The 25,957-nt window shown below is 38.1% G+C and overlaps 1 protein-coding gene across 9 annotated transcripts in view, besides 3 other annotated features; it reads left to right on the top strand.

Annotated features, from left to right (window-relative positions):
• Positions 1 to 25,957, top strand: part of C2orf76 (chromosome 2 open reading frame 76) — an 86,022-nt gene that overhangs the window by 34,604 nt on the left and 25,461 nt on the right. For 6 of the 9 annotated variants that reach the window (XR_007069609.1, XR_001738623.3, NM_001322329.2 and 3 more), the window contains 3 exons: positions 11,344 to 11,394; positions 15,045 to 15,082; positions 20,845 to 20,926. Coding sequence is in view for 6 of the 9 variants with exons in the window: in NM_001322329.2 (NP_001309258.1) it covers positions 11,344 to 11,394; positions 15,045 to 15,082; positions 20,845 to 20,926 (171 nt within the window). In the remaining 3 variants the exon portion in view is untranslated. Of the gene's footprint in view, positions 1 to 11,343; positions 11,395 to 15,044; positions 15,083 to 20,844; positions 20,927 to 21,063; positions 21,163 to 25,957 lie in introns of all 9 variants that reach the window. The other 3 variants (XR_007069611.1, NM_001322332.2, XM_017003354.3) reach the window with 2 other exon arrangements.
• Positions 19,177 to 19,276: an enhancer, noted in NCBI's record as "active region_16447". NCBI's record gives its function as "activates an Ori minimal core promoter by ATAC-STARR-seq in GM12878 lymphoblastoid cells {active_cell/tissue: GM12878}" and the evidence as "EXISTENCE:reporter gene assay evidence [ECO:0000049][PMID:35858748]".
• Positions 20,531 to 20,590: a silencer, noted in NCBI's record as "silent region_11903". NCBI's record gives its function as "represses an Ori minimal core promoter by ATAC-STARR-seq in GM12878 lymphoblastoid cells {active_cell/tissue: GM12878}" and the evidence as "EXISTENCE:reporter gene assay evidence [ECO:0000049][PMID:35858748]".
• Positions 24,714 to 25,215: an enhancer, noted in NCBI's record as "NANOG hESC enhancer chr2:120064909-120065410 (GRCh37/hg19 assembly coordinates)". NCBI's record gives its function as "activates a minimal SCP1, AML or CMV promoter by ChIP-STARR-seq in naive H9 embryonic stem cells {active_cell/tissue: H9 hESC(naive)}" and the evidence as "EXISTENCE:reporter gene assay evidence [ECO:0000049][PMID:30033119]".

The raw sequence follows: 25,957 nt of genomic DNA, 5'->3' as shown, positions 1-25,957 counted from the left end.
CTATAGTAATATGACTACATGTTAACATTTGTAAAATCTGGTTGGTGGGTTAAGTGAATTTTTTGTTCTACTCTGTGCTTTTCTATAATTTAGATTATTTTATAATTAAAGTAAAAAGCATATAGCTTAACCTTTGAATCTTACCATCATATCTGATAAGGATACCTTATCAGGTTTGAATGTTGGTGCATAGTTTTGATTATTAGGTGTTTGGTATTCTTTGTCCATATAGATTAGTCATTGGCTTAGTTTTATTTTTTTTTTCCTTTAGGTGTTTATGCTTTCTCAAAGGTCTTCTAATGTAGATCCAGCATCCAATAATAAGTTACAAATTGTACCACTTCTATTTTTAGAGCCTTTACTGTGAGGCAAAGAATTATTTTATTGCCTCTTGATATTTCAATGGTTTTCTAGACTTTATTGATTTTTGTATTGAAATGTGTGTTTTAACATTTCAGACTCCCCTGGGGCATTGTAATTTTCAGTAGTATATTTGTTAAGTTGCCTAAATTTTTCCACTGATTTTTTTTTTATGGAGACTTAATTGTATGAGAAAAGTTAGTGGTTACCTTCTCGTGACCTTCCTTTCTATTAATGAAATATTAAATTAGTTTTTGCAACATTCTGAAGTCTTAAGTTCAAAGGTGGGAAAACATAAAATGAAAGAAAAACGCAGTGCAAAGTGGGAAATAATTTTCAGAATATAATAGATACGTCATAAACTTTTGCTTTCAGCCAAGATGGAGTGGGACCAGGGTACCAGGCTTGCTCTTCTACATTAAACAACTAAAAAAACTATGTATAATATATAAAACAATCATTTCCCTGGGATTGGGGAAACAGACATGGTGACCCCTATGATTGTGCCACTTTCCAGGCCACAGGGCGGGGAGAGGGAATTCAGGCAAAGCTGGTGGGTTCCATGAGTTTAGGAGTCAGAGCTGGCAGTCTGGAGTGGACCCTGGAGAGTTCACAGGGCAGAGTACAGGGATATAGAGAGCTGCACAGAGAGATGGGGAGCTCTGAAGATTTGCAGAGGATCTTTGAAGATATGCAGAGTGTGAGTCTTCAGTTGTGTATGGATCAGTGCAAGCAAGTAAAGAAACCACTGGAAGCCTGGGAAAGAACCACCTAAAACTAGTAGAATGAGAAATGCTCGGAGCTCCTACAGGGCTGGGAATAGTTTTTATTCCACCTGTTGGAGTGGAAACCTTGTTATTCACAGGTTATCGGGCAGAGTATCCAGAAGGGTGTTGCTGCAGTAGTAGAGCAAAATTAGCTGTAGACTGAATTCTGTCCTGGTCCCACCTAACAAAGTTCAGAAGCACAACTTGAAAGGATCAGATTGTTTCCAAGTAATTTAACTGTGTTGCAGAAGAAAGCTCAAGAAAGCTTACAGGAATACAGAAATATCCAGCACCCAACAAGATAAAATTTACGGTGTCTAGCATCAAATCAGAACTTAACAGGCATGCAAAGAAGCAAAAAAGTATGACCCATAATGAGCAGAAAAAAAAAATCAGTCTATTGAAACCAACCCAGAAATATTGCAGGTGATAAAATTAGTAAACAAAGATGATGGAGATAATTATGACCATATTGCAAAATGTTCGAGAAGCTAGAGGAAAGATTGAGCATGTTAGCAATGGAAGATATTTAAAAATACCTGAATTGAAAATATTGTCTGAGATGGGTATACACTGGACAGGATTAGCCTGCAGATTAGATGCTGCGGAGAAAAAAATTAGTCAACTTGAAAACATAGCAACAAAACAATCTAAAATGAAACACAGGAAAAGACTGGAAAAAATAAAGCAGTGGGGAGGTATGGGACAACTTCTAGTAGCCAAATATACATGTAATTGGAGATAGTGAAGGAGAGAGGGACGGGGGACAGAAGATATATTTGAAGAAATAATGATTGAAAATTTTACAAATATGATGAAAACTAGAGACTCACATTTCCCAGCAGTTCAACAAATCCCAAGCAAAAGAAACATGAAGAAAGCCACACCAAGGCATACCATAATCTAACTGCTTAACTGGTGGTAAAGAAAAAAAATCTTAAAAACAGCAAGAGAAAAAAGAACACATTACATAAAAAGGAACAAAGATGAAATTGACAGCCAACTTCTCATCAGAATCAGTGTGTGCCAGAAAGAAGATACTGGATTAACATTTTTTTTTTTTTTTTGAGATGGAGAGTGCAGTGGCATGATCTTGGCTCACTGCAACCTCTGCCTCCTAGGTTCAAGCGATTCTCCTGCCTCAGCCTCCCAAGTAGCTGGGACTACAGGCATGTGCCACCACGCCCAGCTAATTTTTTTCGTATTTTTAGTAGAGATGGGGTTTCACCATGCTGGCCAGGCTGGTCTCGAAATCCTGACCTCAAGTGGTCTGCCCTCCTCAGCCTCCCAAAGTGCTGAGATTACAGATGTGAGCCACTGTGTCTGGCCTGGAGTAACTTCTTTAAAGCAGTTAAGGAATGAAGCCAACATGAAGATGTTTTCAGACATACCAAAGCTGAAAGAGTTCATCACCTGGAGATCTGCACTGTAAGAAATGTTGGAAGACCTTCTTCAGGCATAAGGAAAATGATACCAGATATAAATCTGGATGCACACAGAGAAATAGAGAGTACTGGAAATGGTAAATATAATAAATATAAAATATTTTTTCTTATTTTGAAAATAATTAAAAAAAATATTTGACCATTTAAAGAAACACAACAACAACGTATTGTGGGTTTTGTGGGAAATTTATGACAGCAGTAGCACAAAGGCCAGCAGAGGAGAAATGGAAGAATCTTTTGCTATTACAAAGTGTTATAGTATCATTTGGAGGTAGACCGATAAAGATGTTTACTGTAAACCTCAAAGCAACTCCTGCCTCCCAACCCCACAATCTAAGGGTTACAGCTAATGAGCTAAAAAAAGAGATAAAATGGAATCATAAAATATTGTCAAATAGACAATCCAAAAGAAGATAGAAAAAGAGGAAATAGAGAACAAATTTAAAAGAATAGCAAACTTTAACCATATCAATAATCACATTGAAAGTAAATGGTCTAAATACCCCAATTAAAAGACAGACATATAATAGGAAGTCCCAATTATATGTTACCTACAAGAAATGTACTTTAAAGATAAAAATCAAGTAAGAATAGAAGGATGAGAAAGTTATACCATGCTGATATGAATCCAAAGAAAAGTGGAGGGACTGTATTAGTATCAGATGAAGTAGATTTTAGAGCAAAATATTACTAGGGATAAAACTATCACTTCATAATGATAAAGGCATCAACTGAGAGGACATAACGATGCACCTAACAACAGAATTTCAAAATAAATGAAGTAAAAACTCATAGAACTGCAGGAAGAAATAGAGGAATGGAACAAATAGAAAATCAGTAAGGATCAAGAGAACTTAAAAACACTAGCAACCCAATCAACTGAATTGACATCTATAGAATCTTGCTTCCAACAATAGTGGAATTTACACATTTCCTTCAAATGCACATGGAGCGTTTATGAATAGTCCAGATTTCATATTATAAAACAAGTCTTAATCGATTTTAAAGGATTCAAATTAGACAGTGTCTATTTTCTGGCCATAATGGAATTAGATTAGAAATCAATAACAGAAAGATCTCTGGAAAAATCTCCAAATATTTGGAAACCAAATAACACACTTCTAAATAGCCTAAGGGTCAAAGCAGAGATCAAAAGGGAAGGTATTTTGAACTGAGTGGAAATGAATATACAACTTTTCAAATTTTGTGGGATGCATGTAAAATAGTATTTAAAAGAAAGTCTATAGTACTAAAACACCTAAATATTAAAAAAGGTTTCAAATCAATGATTTCAGTCTTTATGTTAAGAAACTAGAAACAGAAAAGCAAATGAAACCTAAAATAATCAGAATAAAAGAAATAATAATGATCACAGCAGAAAATAGAAAAACCATAGAGAAAATCCATAACAGTCAAAGTTGATTCTTGGAGATCAATAAAATTGAGTAAACTCTAGCCAGACTGATCAGGAAATAGAGAAGATACAAGTTACCAGTATCAGGAGTGACAGTTGTCATATCACTACAGACTTTCTGCAGATATTAAAAGAATAATAAAGGAATATTCTTAACAATTTAATGCTAATAAGTACAGTATCCTAGATAAAGAGGACAAATTGCTTCAAAGACCCAAACTATCAAAGCTCACTAAAAAAGAAACGGCATGAACAACTCTGTATTTTAAAAGGAATTATGGTTAAAAAATACTTCCACAAAGAAAACTCCAGGCCCAGATGGTTTCACTGGTACATTCTACCATATTTTTAAGAAAGAAATAATCTCAATTCTACAGAGATTCTTCCAGAAGAAGGATGGGAGCCAGGCACGATAGTTCTTGCCTCTAATCCCAGCTATATAGGAGGCTGAGGCAGGAGGTTCTCTTGAGGCCAGAAGTTTGAGAACAACCCAAGCAACATAGCGAGATACTGTCTCTTAAGAAAAAAAAAAGGAGGGGGGCAGAATATTTTTCAACTCATTCTCTGAGGTCATCCTTACCCTGATACCAAACCAGAAAAAGTTGTTGAAAGAAAATAAAGCTACCAGCCAATATCCATCATGAATGGAGATGTAAAAATTCTTGCCCAAACTTTAGTAAATCAAATCCAACAATATTTAAAAAGGATAATACATTATGACTCTGTTAGTCTGTTTGCATTGCTATAAAGGAATACCTGAAGCTGGGTAATTTATAAAGAAAAGAGATTTATTTGACTCTCGGTTCTGTAAGCCATACCCAAAGCTTAGTGCTGGCATGTGCTTCTGGTGAGGGCCTCAAGAAGCTTACTACCATGGTGGAAGGCAAAGGGAAGTCAGCATGCCACATAGCATGCCATATGAGAGAGGAAGCAAGAGAGAGAGAGAGGGAGAAGATATCAGGCTCTTTTTAAACAGCCGGATCTCACGTGAACTAATAGAGGAGGAACGCACCCATTATAGCATGGAGAGCACCAACCCATTTGTGAGGGATCTACCCCCGTGACCCAAACACCTCTCACTAGGCTCATCGCCAACTTTGGAGGTTACATGTCAACATGAGATTTGGAGGGGACAAAACATCCAAACTATATCAATGACCATGTAGGGTTTATCCTAAGAATGCAATGCTGGTTCCACCAAAAAAAAAAAAAAAAAAAAAAAAAATCCATGTAATTCATCATATTAATAGTAAAGAAAAGAAAACTATAAGATTATTTTAATTGAAGACAGAATCCAAAATCCATTCCTGCTAAAAACTCTTTTCAAGCTAGGAATAAAAAGGAACTTCCTCTACCTGATGAAGAGTATGAAAAACTGTTGCCTAACATCATGCTTAATGGTGAAAGACTGAGTGCTTTCCTCCTAAAATAAGGAAGCAGGGACATCTGTTCATCATCACTGCTATTCAACATTGTACTGGAGTTCTAGCCAGTTCATTAAGGCAAGAAAATGAAGTAACAGGCAACCCTGTTTGAAAGGAGGACGTGAAACTGTCATTATTCACAGGCAATATGATTATCTATGCAGAAAATCCTATGAAATCTATACAAATGCTACCAGAACTTACAAACTGAGCTTAGCAAGGTTATAAGATATTAAGATATAAGATCAGTGTACAAGAATTAATTGTATTTCTAGTTACAAGCAATATACAGTGGGAAACTGAAAAAAAAATGATAAAACATCAAAAAACCTGAAATACTTAGGATACATTTGGTAGAAGTGTAAGACTTTTACTCTAAAAACTTTAAATATCACTGAGAGAAATTTAGAGACCTAAGTAAATGGAGAGGTATACTGTGTTCATGGATCAGAAAACTCAAAACTGTTAAGATGTCATGTGTCCTCAAACTGTGGTATTGATTCCAGTTCTAATCAAAATTCTGGCAGGCTTTTTTTTTTCCTTTCAGATAATACCAAACTTATTCTAAAATTTGTAAGGAAAGGCAAAAGACCTAAAATCGTCATAACTCACAAAAAGAAGGAAAAAAGTTGAAGAAATTACACTACCTTATTTCATGACTTACTGCTATAAAACTATAGTAATCAAGTACTGCATATGTGATACTGGTGTGTAGATAAACATATACGTTAATGGAAGCGGAGTCCAGAGACAGACACACAGATGTGTTAAATTGATTTTTGCTCAAGGTATTTTTGAGGAGAGTGTAATTTTCCCAAGCAAGGTATTAGGACAATTGGATAGCCATATGCAAATAAATGAACCTCAATGCTTACCTCCTACCATATACAAAAATAACTCAAAATTGGCCAAGAACTAAATGTAAAAGGTAAAACTATAAAACATCTAGAAGAAAACAGCAACAAACCTTAGAGACTTTGATTTTGGTAAAAGTTTCTTAAATACAGCACAATAAGCATAAACTATAAAAGCAAAAATCAATTGGGCTTTAGCAAAATTAAAAACTTTTCCTTTTCAAAATATACTAAAAAAATGAAAAACCAAACCACAGATGTGGAGAAGATATTTGTAAAACATACATCCAACAAGGAACTATTAGGAACTATTATCTAGAATAATAAGAATTAAAACCAAAACCAAAACCTCTTATAACTCAATAATAAGACACACAACACAATTAAAAGTGGGCAAAATATTTGAACGGACACTTCACTAAAGAAGACGTATGTATGGCAGATAAGCACATTAATTAATACTCATCATTAGTCTTTAGTGAAATGGAAATTAAAACCACAATGAGATTACACAACACATCCATAAGAATGACTGAAATTAAAAGGAGTAACCATAGGAAGTTTTGGCTAGGATGTGGAAGAATTGGAACTCTCATATACCACTAGTGGGAATATTAAAAGGAACAGCCACTCTGGAAAATGATTTATCATTTCTTTCCTTTTTTTGGAGGCAGTGTTGCTCTGTCTCCCCTAGGCTAGAGTGCAGTGGTGCAACCATAGCTCACTGCAGCCTTAACTCATGGGTCAAGTGATTCTCCTGCTTCAGCCTCCTGAGTAGCTGGGACTACAGACATCATCATGTCTTTTTTTTTTTTTTTTTTTTTTTGAGACAGTCTTGCTCTGTCGCCCAGGCTGGAGTACAATGGCAAGATCTCGGCTCACCGCAACCGCTGCCTCCTGGGTTCAAGCGATTCTCATGTCTCAGCCTCCTGAGTAGCTGGGAATACAGGCACCCGCCACCACGCCTGGCTAATTTTTGTATTTTTAGTAGAGATGGGGTTTCACTATGTTGGTCAGGCTGGTCTCGAACTCTTGACCTCAGGTGGCCCAACCGCCTCGGCCTCCCAAAGTGCTGGGATTGCAGGTGTGTCTTTTTTTAATTTTTATTTTTGTAGAGACAGGGTCTCGCTATGTTGTCCAGGCTGGTCTTGAACTCCCGGACTTAAGCGATCCTCCTGCCTTGAACTCCCAAAGTGCTGGGATTCCAGGTGTGAGCCCCTGCACTCGGCCACCAATTTCTTAGAAAGCTAAACATATACCTATTGTATGATCCAGCCATTCCACTTCTAGGTGGAATGACAGTATGTGCCTGTGAGAATGAAAGTAATTTCCTCCATGTGAATGTTCCCAGCTTTATTTGTAATAGCGCAAGATTAAAAATGACCTTTAGCATAAAGAACATGTTTGTTTTTTTCCAGTTCCTTTGCAGGCATCTTTATATGTATTTTGGTTAAAGCTCTTATCTCACTGGAGTGTGTCTAATGTCTAATCTGTCTTTCTGCCACTGTGGAAGGTAACTGCTTTAGTTCCCACCCTTCTCAGTGCTGCAGGAGGGGAGTCGAGAGGGCAGGGTTCTGGTCCCAGCTCTTGACACCTTGGGCTGACCAGGCACTTCTTGAGACCTCAGTGTTCTCCACTGGCAACTGTAGGCATTAAATTATATGTATTCTTTCATGAATATTTTGAGCACATGCTGTGTACCAGGCACTATTTTAGGTTCTGACAACACAATGAAGAAAACAGGCTGTGGTCCCTGCCCTCATGGAAGCAGTTTGTGATAATTTGTTATGGGCCGGACATGGTCCTAGGTTTTGAGAGGACAGCCCACGTTTTCATCCCGAGGAATTTATAAATTCATAGGAAATAGTGACAAAAATAAGTTAAAAGACAAAACTATAATTGTAAAACCTGTTATGAAGGAAACAATATCAGAGAAGACCCCCGCTTTAGAAGGGTTGTCAGAGGAGATGGCACTTCAGTTAAGATGTAAAGGCAGGAAGAGAATAGGTGCTCGCTGTGTCCTGGTCGTTGTCTCTTCTCTCAGAAGTCTGGATTGAACATAAGACTGATTTGATTTCTTCAGTCGTAGACATCTCTAAATGATAATAGCTTCATGGGGCCATCTGTTCTTCACCTCACGGCTTTCTTCAGGGAGTTTCATTGTCTAATTCAGGAAATATAAATGTCAATACATTAAATGGAATTAATTCTCCTTTCTGATGTTGAATGAATACTGCTTTGGCCCATAATTCACAAATAATGGAGACACAAGAAGAATAAAATGAAGTACATATGCTCTGGTAAGCCTAAGCCAGAGGTTTCAAATTGGTATCTGGCAGGCAAATCCTGCCTCCAGAGAGGTTTCTTTTGGCCTATAGTGTTTTAAAAGTCAAGAAATTTCACCTAAAACCCTAGACTTGTAGCATTGCCATTTAAATCTTTAGGTGTGGCCACTCCAGGCTCATGTTCCTACAGCACTGTGATCAGTCAGCACTGACTGGCAGAGCCCCCTTTGATGGGCGCATGCTCTCAGATCTCACTGCCCCTCCTTGTTTGACCTGCTTCACTTACCTGTTGTCACCTGTCTGGCCTCTGGGTGAATTTGAGTACGAATCATCTCAGGGTTTTTTTTGTTTTGTTTTGTTTTGTTTTGTGTTTAAATATCTCTGCCTGGGACCAGCCTACCGTGAGTCAGATCCACTCGTGCCAGGCTGGGTGATCCTGACGTGCAGCCGGGGTGAGGACCACACTCCTAGGACCATAGCACTGGCTGGAAACGTACTTTTGTTACAGCATTCACCACTGGAGCACACGCTGTCATGAGTGGGCAGCTCCTCTTTTACTCTGTTCCTGGAATACCTGGTAGTAGGTGCTTTAAATGCTTGTAACATAAATTAATCAATTATATTTTAATTTGATACGTATTTGATCTTGAAAAAGCATTTTAAAAAAACCCACATTTCCTGACCAGGTGTAGTGGCTCATGCCTGTAATCCCAGCACTTTCGGGGCGAGGTGAGAGGATTGCTTGAGCCCAGGAATTTTAGATCAGCCTGGGCAACCTAGTGAAACCTGTCTATTAAAAAAAAAAAAAATGCCGGGACTATGGGCATGGTGCTGAGCGCCTGTAGTCCCAGCTACTTGGGAGGCTGAGGTGGGAGGATCGCTTGGGCCCAGGAGGTCAAGGCTACTGTGAGTATAATCACATCCCTGCACTCTAGCCTGGGCAACAGAGCAAGACCCTGTCTCAAAAACCTTCACATTTCCTAATTTAGATACGTGGATATTTTTTGTTTGTTTTACTTTTCTTTAGTAGGTAACACATTCATGTGGTTTTAAGATCAAAATGTGGAAAGGAATATAGTGAAAAGTCTCCTTTACCCTTCTGGTCTCTGTCTGACCAGTGCAGCACCCCCCTGCCCTCCCCACCCCCCACTCAGCAAGTACAAGCAAATCCCACCATAAATTCTCATTTTACCCCCTTTTTACTCAAAAGGTAGCTTCCTAAAAATAATGTTCTCTCATATCTCTTTAGCCTTGATGTAACTTGAAGATCTTATCATGTTAGTAGAGAGCTTCCTTCTTTTTCTTTTAACAGTTGAAAAGTATTTTTCATTGTTTGGGCATATTATGATTTACTTAACGAGTACCTAATTGAAGGACATTTGGACTTTTCCTAACATTTGCTGCTGTGAGCAATGCTGCAGTTAATACCCTTCTATGAATGTCATTTTACACACACTCGTGTGTAGTATAGTTCTATGATAATAAATTTCCGGCTGGGCATAGTAGCTCATGCCTGTAATCCCAGCACTTTGGGAGGCCAAGGTGGGCAGATTGCTTAAGTTCAGGAGTTTGAGACCAGCCTGGGCAACATGACAAAACCCCATCTCCACAAAAAAATACAAAAAATTGCTGGGTGCGGTGGCATGCACCTGTAATCCCAGCTACTTGGGGGGTTGATGCAGGGGGATCACTTGAGTCTGGGAGGTCGAGGCTGCAGTGAGCCATGTTTGTTCCACTACACTCCAGTCTGGGCAGCAAAATGAGACCCTGTGTCAATCAGTTAATCAATAAATTCGTTCATTCACTCATTGATTCTGAAGTGGAATGGCTAGGTCAAGGAGTATGTGCATATGTAATTTTGAGATATATATATATATACACATATATACACACATTTCTCTGTTAGGTGTTGTACCAGCAGATATTAATTAAAATTAGTACTGGCATTTGGAATATGTTTTTAAAAGAATATTTACTGTGTTTTGTTGTCTTTGAGGAGTTAGAGGAGTTATTTTGTTGGTTATATGAATTTTGGTGGAGTAATAAGATTGTTCTAGATCATTGGTTTCCACTAATGGCCAAAGACCCATAAGGGGCTCTCAGATTCATATGCTAAACAAACATCAGCTATATATATATATATATGTCTCACACAAGTGTATTAGTATATATTTTAACTATACATAGATACTGTTGTCTAATGAAATTAAACATTCTTTTAATAGTGTTACTGAAGTCTTAGTTCAGATAGTAACAACTCAACATCTTGTCAATAGCTCTAATATTTTAGATGGTGATATGCTTTGGCCGTATCCCTACCCAAATCTCATCTTGCATTGTAGCTCCCATAATCCCCACCTGTCAGGGGAGGGACCTGGTGGGAGAGAATTGAATCATGGGGGTGGGTTTTTCCCATGCTGTTCTTACGGTAGTGAATAAGTGTCGTGAGATCTGATGGTTTTATAAAGGGCAGTTCCCATGCACAGACCCTCTTGCCTGGCGCCATGTTAGATGTGCCTTTGCTCCTCTTTCACCTGCCATGATTGTGAGGCCTCCCCAGTCCATTAAACATTTTTTTTAATAGATTACCTAGTCTTGGGTATTTCTTTATAGTGGTATGAGAATGGACTAATATAGATGGCCCTTGGATTTCGGTGATGTATTTATTCTGTGTTCTGTCAGGTTTTTCAAGGTAACTTAGTCTGTAGATAGAAAAGAATAGAACCAAAAGACTGTGCATATTCTATGAGTGTCTATTTGCTTATTGTGTAAAAAAATAATCTTTCTCTTGTAGATATCCCTTTAAGGACCAACCTGCCACCACCATTCAGAAATTATAAATATGGTAACCATTTTTTTATTCTTTTAAAATATATATAAATACAATTTTGCATTAGTTTGTTACAAACTTAAATTTTGTTTTCAAAAATGACTATCTGTAAATAAAAACCAATTTGGAAGTTTATTTAGAAATACAGGAATGCTAGTATATTGCTGAAATGAATTGTAATAGTAAGGAAGTGGCGTATTTGCAAAGAGTAGCATGTTTGCCAAAACTGTGTTTAAAACGAGTTTCTCTGCCAGGTAATTAGAAAAGGAAAAATGATTGAAGACTAAGAATTAAAAGAAGGGATTTAACATTTTAAATGCCAATAATTTGAGCATGTTATATAGTAGTTTTATGTGTTACAATTGATGATTTAAAAATGGAGTAATAAGGTAAGAAGCTAGATGTTGTCATTCATTATTTGTTATAAAGATGGCACAGTTATTAACCTTCAGCAGAGTGACACTCACCAAACTTTGAATTTGAGACTTCATTTGAAAGGTATGATGCACCTAATAAATATTTCTCTTAATTGGTGCAGACATTTTAAAGTATAAATTTTTTATTACCTTAGATTTTTTTTTGGAGTGGCTTTTCATTCTGTTCTCATTTGATAGAACAACTTATGACCTAAAATCCTTTGAAATCACAATCTTCGCCGTGTGTATGCATTTTAATATCCAGAAACTAATTGTGAGGTTATAAGGGGTAGTGAAGCAGAAGTTGAAGGCACTGAGTGGAAAGTACTTTGATTTATTGGGCTTAAAGAATTTACATACTCAATATTGAATAAGATAAAGGAATAAAAAGGATGATTAAGGTAAATATGAAACTTCTCAATTGTGGCTTTCAAGGCTTTCAAAGTATAATGTCTTGAAATATAGCCTTAAACTTGAATCAACTTACAGATGCCATTTTAAATTAGAATAGTTACATATGGTTTCCTTTTTTCATGGTGTGTGTGTATGTGTGTATCTATATGTCTATGTGCAAAGCTGTGTTCCATGTAAGTTCTTTTGAAAGAAATTTTAGATAATGAAAGCGTTAGAATATCCAAGTTGCTAAGCATTATTGTGGTAGATAATGTACCTTTTAGACTATTCTATCTTATTAACTTCCTTCTGCCCTAGTATTTCTATACTATTCAGATGAATTGGCAGAAAAAATGAATACATTTATTTGTGAAGAAATTATAGAACCACTCGAGTTTTGATAGACTTCAAGTGGCTTTGTCTGAACTTGGCTGTTTAACAATCTTCTGCTTTCTGTTGAACAAGAAAGGCTGCAGTGTTATTTTCACCTGTCATTGTCATCCGGGACTGCCACCTCACGGTCTGCGGGACAGGGCACTTTGTTAGGTATTCGGGAGTGGAAAGAGTGTGGAGTCAGATTTCAGTTTTGCCAGTCACTGTCTCCCTACCCTTTGGCAAAGGGCTGATTCTCTCTGCCACCAAGAGCCTGAGATATCTCAGAGCCCTCCTCCCATTTAATTGGCATCCACATCTATTATTGATTTACCACGCATGCTACTTATCTTAAATCCCTATCGCCTAGACATGACCCATGAGGGCACACAAGAATGTAGTTGTTGTACAGTGTGGGCTGCTCATCCCTCTCTGTTTCATAAAGCTGTGTGTGATGCTCCACAAATACAAGATGATATTTTTATGAGGTTGCTTTCCTCAAGGAATTTGTATTAAGAAAACAATGCCCACAGGTATTGTTTGTGATAATTATGAGGATTATTTGAAAGAAGCAAGAACAAGGGAAGCAGCTTATTCAACACAGAAAGGGACAGTAATACATCTCTCTGCTGGTTTGTCATTTCTCCTTTCTTACCCACTCCTCAGGTCACACCCCTTTCTGTTGGAGAGAAAAATCTGGCAAAAACTTCTCTTCAAAACATTTCTTTTTCTGCTAAAATATGTAGCCGTTTAATTGTGTGTTTGCCAAACCTATTAGAGCAGCAGGATTTCTAGTTTAAAGGCTCATTAGCAAAATATATAGAACAGGATTAATATTTAGTAAGGTCAGACTATAGTTTTGCAGGTTGATTGCAACAGACTTTGAGCTCCTGTTATTTTAAAAATACTATTGGCTTCTCTCACTTGTCTCAAATAATAAACATATCTATAGTAAGAAAAAGGACATGATAGGTAATTTGGAATACTAGATAAGCTGAAAGTCAACTTTGTTTATTTTCTTACACACATTTTAAGCTTATTTTTAGCAATTATGGTTTATTTACATCCCTAATATGCATATTTTACTTAGGTTAGATTTATTTTTATTTCTTAGGAATACAGAGTTACTGAGGATTATGTTGACCTTGTATAAAAAATTACAAGGCCAGATGCAGTGGATCATGCCTGTAATCCCAGCACTTTGGAAGCTGAGGAGGGCAGATCACCTGAGGTCAGGAGTTCGAGACCTAGCCAACATGGTGAAACCCTGTCTTTACTAAAAATGCAAAAATTAGCTAGGTGTGGTGGTGGGAGCCTGTAATCCCAGCTGCTCGGGAGGCTGAGGCAGGCGAATTGCTTGAACTTGGGAGGTGGAGCTTGTAGTGAGCTGAGATCATGCTGCTGTACTGCAGCCAAGGCGACAGAGCAAGACTCCGTCTCAAAAAAAAAAAAAAATTGCAATAGATAACTGAAAGTTGACTATTTAAAATAATGGGCAAATTCAGAGTGCTAGTTCTTATCTAGATAGCCACCTTATTGTGTATTATGAGAACATAGTTAAATAAGGTCTGTTTTAAAAATAGATCCTTTCATTTCCTGTCACTGTTGGAATTCCTTGTTACAACGTGATTGATAGGAATGAGTTTTAGTTTAAGTTTGGGAGTTTATTCAATAATACACTGTAATCATAATGCATTCATTAAATGTTTAAATAAAAACGAGTGAAGAATCGGAAACTTTCTGAATTTCAACCTGTTGAATGGCTGTGTAGATTATGTAATTAAGGGCTGATTGTTGCTGAGTTCGAATTTTACCCAAGTGTGGAGAAATTACTTACTGGAAGTGCACAGTGTAGCCTGACTTCAAGATAAACAAATTAAGGAGTGAAGTTGGGTTTGAATAGAGCAGATGAAATGGTGTGAGCCTGTGCAGTATTTGCAAACCAAGAGACAGATAGTGATATTCCTGGGGCATTAGCAGCCTTGCTCAGATTCCCGGTGGTCCTAGATACAGTGTTTGAATACTGAGAGTGGCAACACCTGTATCATCATTTGCTCTCTTGTCATTATATCTCATCTGAATAGATTTTTTTGAACTGCATTTGCTAATGTCTATTTTAAGACTTTTTTTTTTACATTATTTGCTAATCCTGTTCTGTATTGACTCCAAAAAAACAAGGTACAGTAATCTGATTTGCTTGTCTTCCATTCTAAGAAAAAATGTGCTGAGTTGACAAAAAGTTCTGACACACACACTGCTGTGTGTCAAAGACCAAGGCTTTAAAAGATAAAGATCTTTTACTTCAGTTTTAATGATCTACAGAAGTAATTTTTCTTTTGCTGTATAGTATATTTCTAAATGAGTCTGGTTATAAAACAAGGACTTACATTTCTCAATTTCGTAGCCACCCTCCACCCATTTTAATAATTTGAAAAGAAGTTTAGAATAAACTGTGTAAAAAGATAACTTGCTTTTTTCTTTCAGATGCACTAAAGATTATTCATCAAGCACATAAATCAAAGGTATGTTCCACAGGTACAGTATCTGGCACATAGCAAGTAATCAATGTTGGTTGAATTTGTGAATAAGTGAATGAATACATGTACATCTAAAATATTTCCCATTATAATAGCGCTTTTTATTTTGTAGGTACCCTTTTTACTGCCTTAGCTTTTTCATTGAAGAAAAATAAGCTATTTCCCTGTTAGTAGTAGGTCCTTTTTAAAAAAGTGTTAATTAAAAAAAGTATACCATATTTTGTTTATCAAGCACATATTTAACATAAAATAAGCATAAAACTTGGAAAAGTAAATTCAATTTACAGATAAAAGAAACTGCTTATTATCTGGCAATCCAGTGTCTTTGATTTTCTTAATTCTGTACCAGAACAAAAGGGCCAGATGCAGACACAAATAATTCACTTGTTCTAATTTGATTCTTGCTGTGTATAAGAGAAGGCACAGAACTGTGGCTCTGGGAACACACCTTTTAGCTCCACCAAGGCCATGGCCTGCAATCCTGAAGTTGTCTTACCTTTCCCAAAGAGAGCTGTTTATTTATGGGTTTGTTGTGTGTTTATATTTCTGTTTTTTTACTTTTTTAGAGTAACGTTTTTATGAAGCCACAGTCAAAGATTTGTTTATCATACAGACAGAGCAGAGTGATCTTTTTTTCTTTAATCTCTGGCCTTCCATAGAGTCCTCATTAAAGCAGTAATCTTCCTGTATTATATAAACTACTCAAGAATAAGATATTATTTGTCATATCCCAATACCTAGCACAGTGCCTGGCTCATAGGAGTTTTTCCATAACAATTTTTGAATGAAGTATTTATTAATTCATTTTATTTCATTGTCTTCTGTAGTCGTAGATGCACTCCATACACTCAATCACCTTTCAGATAAATGCGTATCACAGATCACAAGAAAATGGCATGAGGCTATGTCTGTTGACCATTGATTAGTAACTGTGTTTTAAAATTTATGTTATTTAAAAAATATTTTTGTGGCTTAAAACAACACACATTTATTCTCCTACAATTCTGGAGGTCAGAAGTCCAAAATCAGTTTCACTGAGCAAAAGTCAAGGGTTTAGTAGGCTTGGTTCCTTCTAGTAACTTTATTTTTTATACCAAGGATTGTATATGCCAGTTTTACAATATCCATTGTGAAATGCCTCAAAATGTCATGCTCACACGTGTCTGGGGCTGTGGTATGGAATCTGCCCTTTTGATTGGTACTAGAATGTGTGGCCACCATATTTGGACTTCGTCCAATTTCTCTCCTCTGGGACAGGAATGTTTTCAACCTCATTCCTAAAATGTAGAGAATAGGTAATGTTCTATATTTTTGTGTATTATATACATCTAAAATACAAATACAAATATAAAATAAAGTTAAAATAAAACAATACGCTCTTCAAAAAGGTTGTAAAGCAAAGCAAGTCCCCATTCTCCATTCATTGCTGCATGTTCTACATCATTTGGCTTTTCATATGCTCATGTTGCCAAAAAGGAGTAAGTAGTAAATTATTCCTTTATCTTAGTGGAGACATAGTTCATCATGTTCAAATTATCAGTATTATAACATTTAAAAAATCTGGAAATTATCCTGTCATCGGAAGACAAAACAATCTTAGAATTGTTACTTATATTTAAGACATATGTTTCACACTGGCAGGTTCTAGTTATAAAATTAGGGCTTGTTTTTCCAGTTGAACAATGTATTTGTTTAAGGGAGGACTCCCAAAACAATTAAGTCACTCAGAGTGCTTCTGGAATCTGGCTTTATGAACTTTGATCCAAATCATAACAATGCTAGTTAAGATGCCCTGGGGATGGTTCTGCAAGTTTCTGCTTCAACTTTTCTAAGGGAAGAGTTCAATATATTTTCACAGATACGGTTTTAAAACTTCAGAGAAACTTCATCCACATGTCCTCATTTGTGCCTTATCCAGTTCACAGTCATTTTTCTCATTTCCAAGTTATTGTTGTCCTTTCATTTTCTATTCCCCATCTGCGGGGCCTGTGGCATTGCTGGCTTGGCCTGTTAGTGTTCCAACTCAGCTGTAATTTTAATCTCCTTCGTCAGCTGAAAGGAGAGACTTCTAAATAATTCCTTTGTCTTAATGAACTCATTCATAAAAGGCATTTTCCCCATTTCCCTAATTTTCTGGGCTTAGAGACTTTCCTAATTGCAGTTACTACATATCCTCAGAAATTTCTTCCCATTCCCACAATAAAAAGACTGACTGGATACCTTCCCACCCGAGCCTCCTCTGTGTGTGTGTGTGTGTATGTGTGTGTGTATTATGGATGGTAATCAGTGGTGTGTTTATAAAGTCGGAATAATTTCTATTAAGATTGAAATAAAAACTTTAATTTCCATTTTATGTGTGGAAGTCATATCCTGGAACAAACTTTATAAGAAATGTGCAAGGTCTTTAAAAAGAAAACTTAAAATGCTGCTGTCCTTCCTCACCCCTCACCACACACACACTTGAAAATACGCATCTAAACTCTGCGATTAATTTTTCAGACCCATTAAAGTGAACTCCTCTCAAGATCTGTGCGTTTCATTGTGTGAAACTGTACTTCAACTTAACAACAAAACAAAACCTGCTATGAGAGTTCCAAAATAAGACTTAAATAGAAATGCTTAGGATATTTTGGATAGGAAGATACAACAGCGTAAAATCAGTTCTCTCTTAATTTACATATTTAATGCTGCCCCAATAAAATACAATACTTGTGTTTATATGTAAACTAAATAAGCTGATTTTAAAATCAGTATGTAAAAAATAAGAATAATCAGGAGAATTTTGAAAAAGAGAAATGAGAGTAATTAGCTCTAACATATAAGACATGTTATAAAACGATAGTAATTAGAACAGTATGGCACTGTCACATGAACTGGTAGTTTAAGGGCACAGAATTAAAAGTTCCAAAATAGACCCCAATATTTCCAAATATGGAAATTGAATGTATAGTAAATATGGCATTTCAAGTTTGTAAAGAAAAGATGGAGGACTCAATAAATAGTATTTGAATAACTGCATAAACATCTAAAAAACAGCTAAGTTGAATCCATGTATTTTTCTTTATGCCAAAATAAATACCCCTTGGATTAAAAAATTAAACCCATAGATGAGGATAGAGATGAAACAGATGGAACATGACTTGATAATTTGTTCAAGTTGGGTCCTGGGTACAGGGCAGGGGGTTTATTACACTATTCTGTATCTATTGTATATTTGAAATTCTCCACGATGAAAAATTCAAAAAATGAAATTCTTAAAAATATTTGAAGAGAACAGGGAATTTAAAAAATCTTGGCGTGAAGAAGGGCTTTCTAAATATGACAGAAAACTGAGAAACGATATGAGATTGATACATTTTACTTCATTCACTAACTTATTTATTCCACGAAAATTCATTTAACACCTTCTATGTAAAAAAAAAAAAAAAAAAAAAAACCACTGAGAAAAGCAAGGAACAAATGAAAAGTGGGGGAAATTTTTCTAACTTACAGAAAAGGCCGAATTTCCTTAGCATGTGAAGATGCTCTAGACTCTACAATTCTATTGGAAAAATTAGCCTACAATTCCATTAAAAAATAGAAAATATTCAGAACTTTAAGCATAATAAAATACAAATTAAGACTATACTTAATCCACACCTGTCAGATTGGCAAGGATCAGAAGGCTTTGCTAATATACTGTGTTGGGAGGGTGTGGGAAACAGGTCCTCTCAGTGGTCCCAGTCCTCTCTGGAGAACTAGATAGCTGGTGGATGGGGATTGGAAGGAGACTGACTTTTCACTTTCTATTCATATATGCTTGGAGAACTTTGTATAATGAGTAGATATTACTTATTCTTTGTTTTTTGTTTTTTTGAGACACAATCTCACTCTGTTGCTCAGGCTGGAGTGCAGTGGCATGAACACAGCTCACTGCAACCTCTACCTCCCAGGATCAAGATATCCTCCTGCTTCAGCCTCCTGAGTATCTAGTAGTATAGATGTGTGCCACCACACCCAGCTAATTAAATAAAACTTTTTTTTTTTGTAGAGATCGGGTCTTGCTATCTTGCTCAGGCTGGTCTCAAACTCCTGGGCTCAAACAGTCCTCTTGCCTTGGCCTCCCAAAGTGCTGGGATTACAGACTGTATTACCTATTCTAAAATGATTTTTTGAGTAAAGTATTTTTTCTTTTAATCTGTATGCTCTGGAGTTTTAAGCCCCTGTGCTCTGCAGTGAATGAGGTCCATAAACCCTGCGTGGCTTGGGCTTCTGATTTGGCTGCTGAGAGGCCTTTCTGTTGACTCTCTGTCTCAGCTGTATTCTACAAATAGAATATGTTGCTAAACAGGTGTGTTCTGGTTGACAAGTAGTGCTGTGTGCCACTAGTGGTTATCTCTTTGTGCTATTTAGGGGCAGATAGCAACTTTTTTTTTTTTTTTTTTGAATGGAGTCTTGCTCTGTCGCCCAGGCTGGAGCGCAGTAGTGCAATATCAGCTCACTGTAAGCTCTGCCTCCCAGGTTCATGCCATTCTCCTGCCTCAGCCTCCTGAGTAGCTGGGACTACAGGCACCTGCCACCGCTCCCGGCTAATTTTTTTGTATTTTTAATAGAGACGGGGTTTTACCATGTTAGCCAGGATGGTCTCGATCTCCTGACCTTGTGATCTGCCTGCCTCGGCCTGCCAAAGTGCTGGGATTACAGGCATGAGCCACCGCACCCAGTCAATAGCAAGTTTAAATTTTCACTTGTATTTATGAGTCTCACTGGATTTGTAAATATCACTGGAGAGCACTCTCATTTACCCCCACCCCAAATCACATAGAGAAATATTCCAATTAATGTGACATGGAACCAGATGTTTTTTAGCTTGGGCAAGGTTTTTAGATATGTGGACTTCTGGCCGTTTGAAGTATACTTGTGGCCAGGTGTGGTGGCTCATGCCTGTAATACCAGTATTTTGGGAGGCCAAGGTCAGAGGATCACTTGACCTCAGGAGTTTGAGACGAGCCTGGGCAAGATAGTGAGACCCCGTCTCTACTAAAAATAAAAAAAATTAGCCAGGCTTGGCGGCACATGTATGCAGTCCCAGCTACTCAGGAGGCTGGAGATGGGAGGATTGCTTGAGCCTTGGAGACTGAGGTTGTAGTGAGCCATAATCACGCCACTGCACTCCAGCCTAGGTGACAGAGTGAGACCCTGTCTCGAAAAACAAAACGAAAAAAGGAAGTATACTTGCTTCTCTCAGAAGTCGGACTGGCCAGAGCTGGAAGCTCAGCTCTGTCGCTGACCAGGTGAGGATGGCAGAAGATGATGATGATGATGCAGCAAAAGAACAGTGACAGCTAAGAGAGAGTGCTCACCCTGCGGCCGGCACTGCTGAGGGTTTATATGCCCCATCCTGTCACCCTTACCACAGGTGATGAGGAAGGGGCCTCTCCTCCCCTTTTCTACCAATGAGGAAATCGAGTCCTAGAGAGGTTGTGTAGCTTGTTGAGAACACACAGCTGGGTGCTGGTGGAGTCTGGATTTGCATCCTGATCTGACTTCACGCCCATGCCACAGAACTGTCCCCACTGCTTTATGTGGTGCGTGAGCTCGGCAGGACCTCACTGTGCCTCTGTTCACTGCCCTCATTACGGCCAGGGCAGTGGAATCTACTTAGATTATTGCTGTGCTCAGAGTTACAACTCTGTGTCTTTGAGAAGTCTCACCAAACAAACCCATGTAAGTACTGATAAAATGCAGATTTTCTTTTTTTTTTTTAGACAAATGAACTTGTGTTGAGTTTGGAAGATGACGAAAGACTCCTGCTGAAAGAAGACAGCACTCTGAAAGCAGCTGGAATCGGTGAGGAAGGGGGCCTTGTGTTGCTGGAGGGGGACCTCTGCCGGCCTATCCTGAGGCCTGGCTGATGGTATTTGGATAACTCACTGGAAAGTAAATGCTGTCCTTGGTCCCCCTGACACTGCCCGGTAACTGTTCAGAGGAGGAGGATGAGAATGATGTGCATTCCGATCTCTTGGCTGAGGACAGTAGGTGTCTGCTCTCCAAATATGCAGAATGCAAATGGCTGTTTTCAGAAGGTATGCTCAGAATTCTCCTGAGGGTCATTTTAAGTGACGGGTTGTAAGTACCACGTCTACTTACTCTTATCATTGTCACTTGAGCCGATGGTTGGAGAGAAATGGACATAGTAAGAACTAATGAGGAATAATGAAACGCATTGTTGGTATCACATGCAGTGTGGTTTTTGATAGTCTTCCGAATCACTCAGGGCCCACCAAGGCATGGAATTTAAAATAGGAACCTGGTGTGTGCAGCTGAAAAGTACCTGATTGGGCCTTCCAGCCTAGAATGTGCATGTGGTTTTATTCTAAATAAATGTTATGTGACATGTTTTGTGACCATTAGATGTCACTGTTATTCTACGTATATGTACACCTAAAGCTGATCTGGCAGGAGAGGGAGTGGAGATTGTCAGGGAGGTCTGAGTGGTTAAAGGCAGTGTGCCCCTCACACACCTCTGCGGTTGGTGACGGATGCAGTGTCACAAGCCATGCTTCTTCTTAATTATTTATTAATTTATTTATTTTTTGAGACAGAGTCTCACTCTGTCGCCCAGGCTGTAGTGCAGTGGTGCAGTCTCGGCTCACTGCAACCTCCATCTCCCGGGTTCAAGCGATTCTCCTGCCTCAGCTTCCTGAGTAGGTGGGACCACAGGTGTGCACCAGCACGCTTGGCTAATTTTTGTATTTTTTTAGTAGAGACAGGGTTTCACTATATTGGCCAGACTGGTCTCGAATTTCTAACCTCAGGCGATCTGCCTGCCTCGGCCTCACATTGTTCATAATTATTTATATGCACTTGTTAAGGAACACGGTTAGTGAGGTGCACATTGGGAGCCTGAATTTTTTTTTTGACAAGTATTATTTTGAGTTACTTTAATCACTTGTATCAGGAATTTACTTCTGATTGATTCACGTGATGAGCATGAATTCCTGACATAGATCTTCTGAGTTAAATAGGATCTTAAATACCATGTTGTGAAATCTTAGACTTGATTTCTGTGTTGATGTCTACAATATTTGCTAGAATATTCTTGTCTTTCCATGTTATGAATATGTAAGGTTGTTATTTTGAAGAATGATTTTAAATTTGGCATTTGTTTCTTTAAATGCTATTATATTATTGTAGCAGGTGGCACCTTTGTGATTGGGGCATGTAGCACCCATAAGGTAGCCCTGCTTGTTGTTAAAGCATAAAGCATAATGAATATTACAGACTGATATTAATGGGGGTGTTGACAGACAGCTCCATGGAAAACACTGGAGAATCCAAAAATGAAAAAAAGGGTAATATTTCACAGGATGATAAAGTTGACATTTCAAATAAGTGAGGAAAGAATGATTTAGCCAGAAAATTATGTCAAGCCCATTGCCAAAGCATTCAGGAAAATAAAATTCAAACTCGTATCTCATCTCTGTTTTTATTACAAAATAAATTGTAGATGGGTTAAATGTTATAATGTAAAAAAATTTTTTAAAAAGAAAGTGTAGTTCAATAATTTCATAATCTTGGGAAGGAGAAGAGTTTTCCAAGCATGAGCTCAAAGACAGAAGCCATAAAGGGGGAGAAGTGATAAATTTGACTACCTATAAACTAAAAACTGTAAACACAGTTAAAGGAGAAACAATAAACTTTGAAAAATATCTGCAGCATATACAACAGATAAAAAGTTATTAGCCTGGGGTCGGGCATGGTGGCTCATGCCTATAATCCCAGCACTTTGGGAGGCTAAGGCGGGGAGGATCACTTGAGGTCAGGAATTCGAGACCAGCTTGGCCAATATGGTGAAATCCCATCTTCACTAAAAATACAAAAATTAGCCAGGTGTGGTGGCACACGCCTGTAATCCCAGCTACTTGGGAGGCTAAGGCACGAGAACGGCTTGAACCTGGAAGGTAGAGGGTGCAGTGAGCTGAGATCATACCACTGCACTCCAGCACAGCACTCCAGCCTGGGCAACAGAGTGAGACTCTATCTCAAAAAAAAAAAAAAAAAAAAAAAAAAGAAAAAGAGAAAAAAAGAAAAGTTACTAGCCTGACTTTATAAAGAGCCCTTGTAATTACTATGAAAAAGAAAAATTCTATTGATAGAAGAAATAACTCACACATAAAAAATAGCTCCACCTTATTAGGAGAGAATGAGTACTTATTAGAAATGAGTACATAGATACTGTTTTATGTAGTAGAGTCTAGTGTTAAGACTCTAGTCTGGGGCCAGGTGCAGTGGCTCATGCTTGTAATCCTAGCAGTTTGGGATGCCAGGCTAGTGGATCGCCTGAGGCCAGGAGCTCTAGATTAGCCTGCACAACAATTAGCATGCTCATCTCTATGAAAATAACAGAGTCCAGAGCCAGAGTGCTTGGGTCCAAAACCTGATTCTGTCTTTTACTGTCTGGGTGACCTTGGACAGCAGCAATTGTTATAAGATTAGCAGACATGAAAAAGTGGCATTGTCCAAGGGAGTTCAAGGTGTAGGAAAATGGATACTCTTATACCACCGTCGGGAATGAATATGACCTTGAATTTTCTGTGGGTCGGTTTGACCAATAAGACTTTCTCAAGTTTGAATTTCAATGGTACTTGTTTCTAAGCCAACAGGGACAAGCTGTGAGGTTGTGCTAAGTCTTCAGAAGGGTGGTGGGGTTAGCCCTGACCTTCCCTGTATGTGAAGCACTGATGTAGAGCTTGATTTATTGAATAGAAATAGAACATACTGTGTGATACCATTATTGTTTGGGTTTTTTTGTTTTTGTTTTTGTTTTGAGACCAGAGTCTTGCTCTGTCGCCCAGGCTGGAGTGCAGTGGCACAATCTCAGCTCACTGCAGCCTCCACCTCCTGGGTTTAAGCAAGTCTCCTGCCTCAGCCTCCTGAGTAGCTGGGATTATGGGTGTGCACCACCATGCCCAGCTAATTTTTGTATTTTTTAGTAGAGACCGGGTTTTGCCATATTGGCCAGGCTGGTCTCGAACTCCTGACCTCGGTTTTCCACCTGCCTTGGCCTCCCAAAGTGCTGGGATTACAGGCATGAGCCACTGTGCCCGACCCCATTATTGTTTTAAAATGTTTAAAGTATACATGTAAGATTATTGTTTATGCGTATATGGAGAAAAGATCATACGCCAAAATTATAGAAATGGTTTCTTGAGGTGCTGGCATTGCCAGTAATTGATATTCTTCTTTCTTTTCTGTATTATCTAATTGCTTTTATGGTGATTTAAAAATTTTTCTACAGTTTACATGTATTCCTTGTAATTAAAGGACGAATTTTTTTTAAAAGTATAAACCCATGAAGTTGGGGAAAATCGGTTAGAATGAAGGCTGTGTGCTTTGCTTGCTTTCTGTAAGCCTCTTATCCTCTCTGAAACTCTATTTTGTTTTCTGTAAAAACAGAATAATGAAACCTATTCTAGAAGGTTGTCATAAAGGTTGTGTAAAACAATGAAGGCATCCGGAGTGATGTGTGTAAAAGGCCCTCAGGAACAACTGCTTTGTTTGGAAACTGTCCTGGAGAAGGCAGTTGGCAAGTTTTGACTTTACTAAAATATTGAGTTGTTGGTCTTGTTGTGATTAATTTCAAACTGACTTATGTAATGAACCATCTGTAAAGGTGAGAAGCAAATCCCTCTTTTTGTCCTCTTACTTTAAGGCTATTGGTCCTGGATCAGAGTCAGATTATTTTCCCAGATTCTCCACTCATTTCAGGGTGTTGTGAGGACTCCAAACTGCCCTCCGAACTCCTAACTCCGAACTCCGGCAAGCCAGCAACCCTGGGCTCGGGGTGATTTGGGTCCCTGCAGGGAGCGATTTTCTCTTTGTTATCTAGAGTGGTGTTGCTATGCTCTTGGGGACAAGCTGAGGTTATACCTGGGGAAGGAGATGAGGGTACCTGGAGAGCAACAAAAAATTCTAGTGAGAATTGAGTTGTGAAAATGATACTTGAAATGTGATTTTTTTTTTTTTTTTTAAGACAGAGTCTCTCTCTGTCGCCCAGGCTAGAGTGCAGTGGCACGATCTCGGCTCACTGCAACCTCCGCCTCCCAGGTTCAAGTGATTCTCCTGCCTCAGCCTCTGAGTAGCTGGGATTACAGGCATGTGCCACCACGCCCAGCTAATTTTTGTATTTTTAGTAGAGACGGGGTTTCACCACGTTGGCCAGGCTGGTCTTGAACTCCTGACTTCAAGTGATCTGCCCACCTCAGCCTCCCAAAGTGCTGGGATTATAGGCGTGAGTCATTGTGCCTGGCCTGAAATATGTGATTTTTCTAGGGAATTTTCCCTCCCTCAGTGCCGTGTCTGGTTAGATTTTTAAGAGGTTTAAGAGAAAAATTCGAAGTCATCTCTGTCTCCCTTTTCACTGCTTGATCTTGCTGTAGAGCTGTCACTGCTATCACAGCCAGTTGCCATGGGAATAATGCCAGGGTAACAAATTTATCGTTAGGACTTTTCTGCAGTAGTCATGAAAGGAAAAGAAAGGCTGCAAGTGGGGAAATTAGGGGAAAAAAAGGTGTTTGAAGATTTCTTTTCTCAGGGAGAAATTCTCTAGTTCATCCTTTGGCTTTTTATCTGCACTGCAGATCCCCGTGGAACATTCTACACCTGACGTCAGTGGAGTTTTTGCTTGTGGACCCAGTACGAAAATACGTACTTCAAAAAGATTTGATCAGTAGAAGCAAGAAGAGACTTTTACCTAGAAATGTTACTTATAATTTTTTGTCAGCAATTGTAGTTTTATGGGCTAATTCCCCTAAGTAATAAATTTACATGTAAGCTTTTTTTTTTAAGTGTTATTTTCTCTCTTTCATTTTGCTACAT

Source organism: Homo sapiens, chromosome 2, assembly GCF_000001405.40.
Source record: "Homo sapiens chromosome 2, GRCh38.p14 Primary Assembly".
Classification (NCBI taxonomy): Eukaryota; Metazoa; Chordata; class Mammalia; order Primates; family Hominidae; genus Homo; species Homo sapiens.
This window is presented reverse-complemented; position numbering and strand designations above follow the sequence as displayed.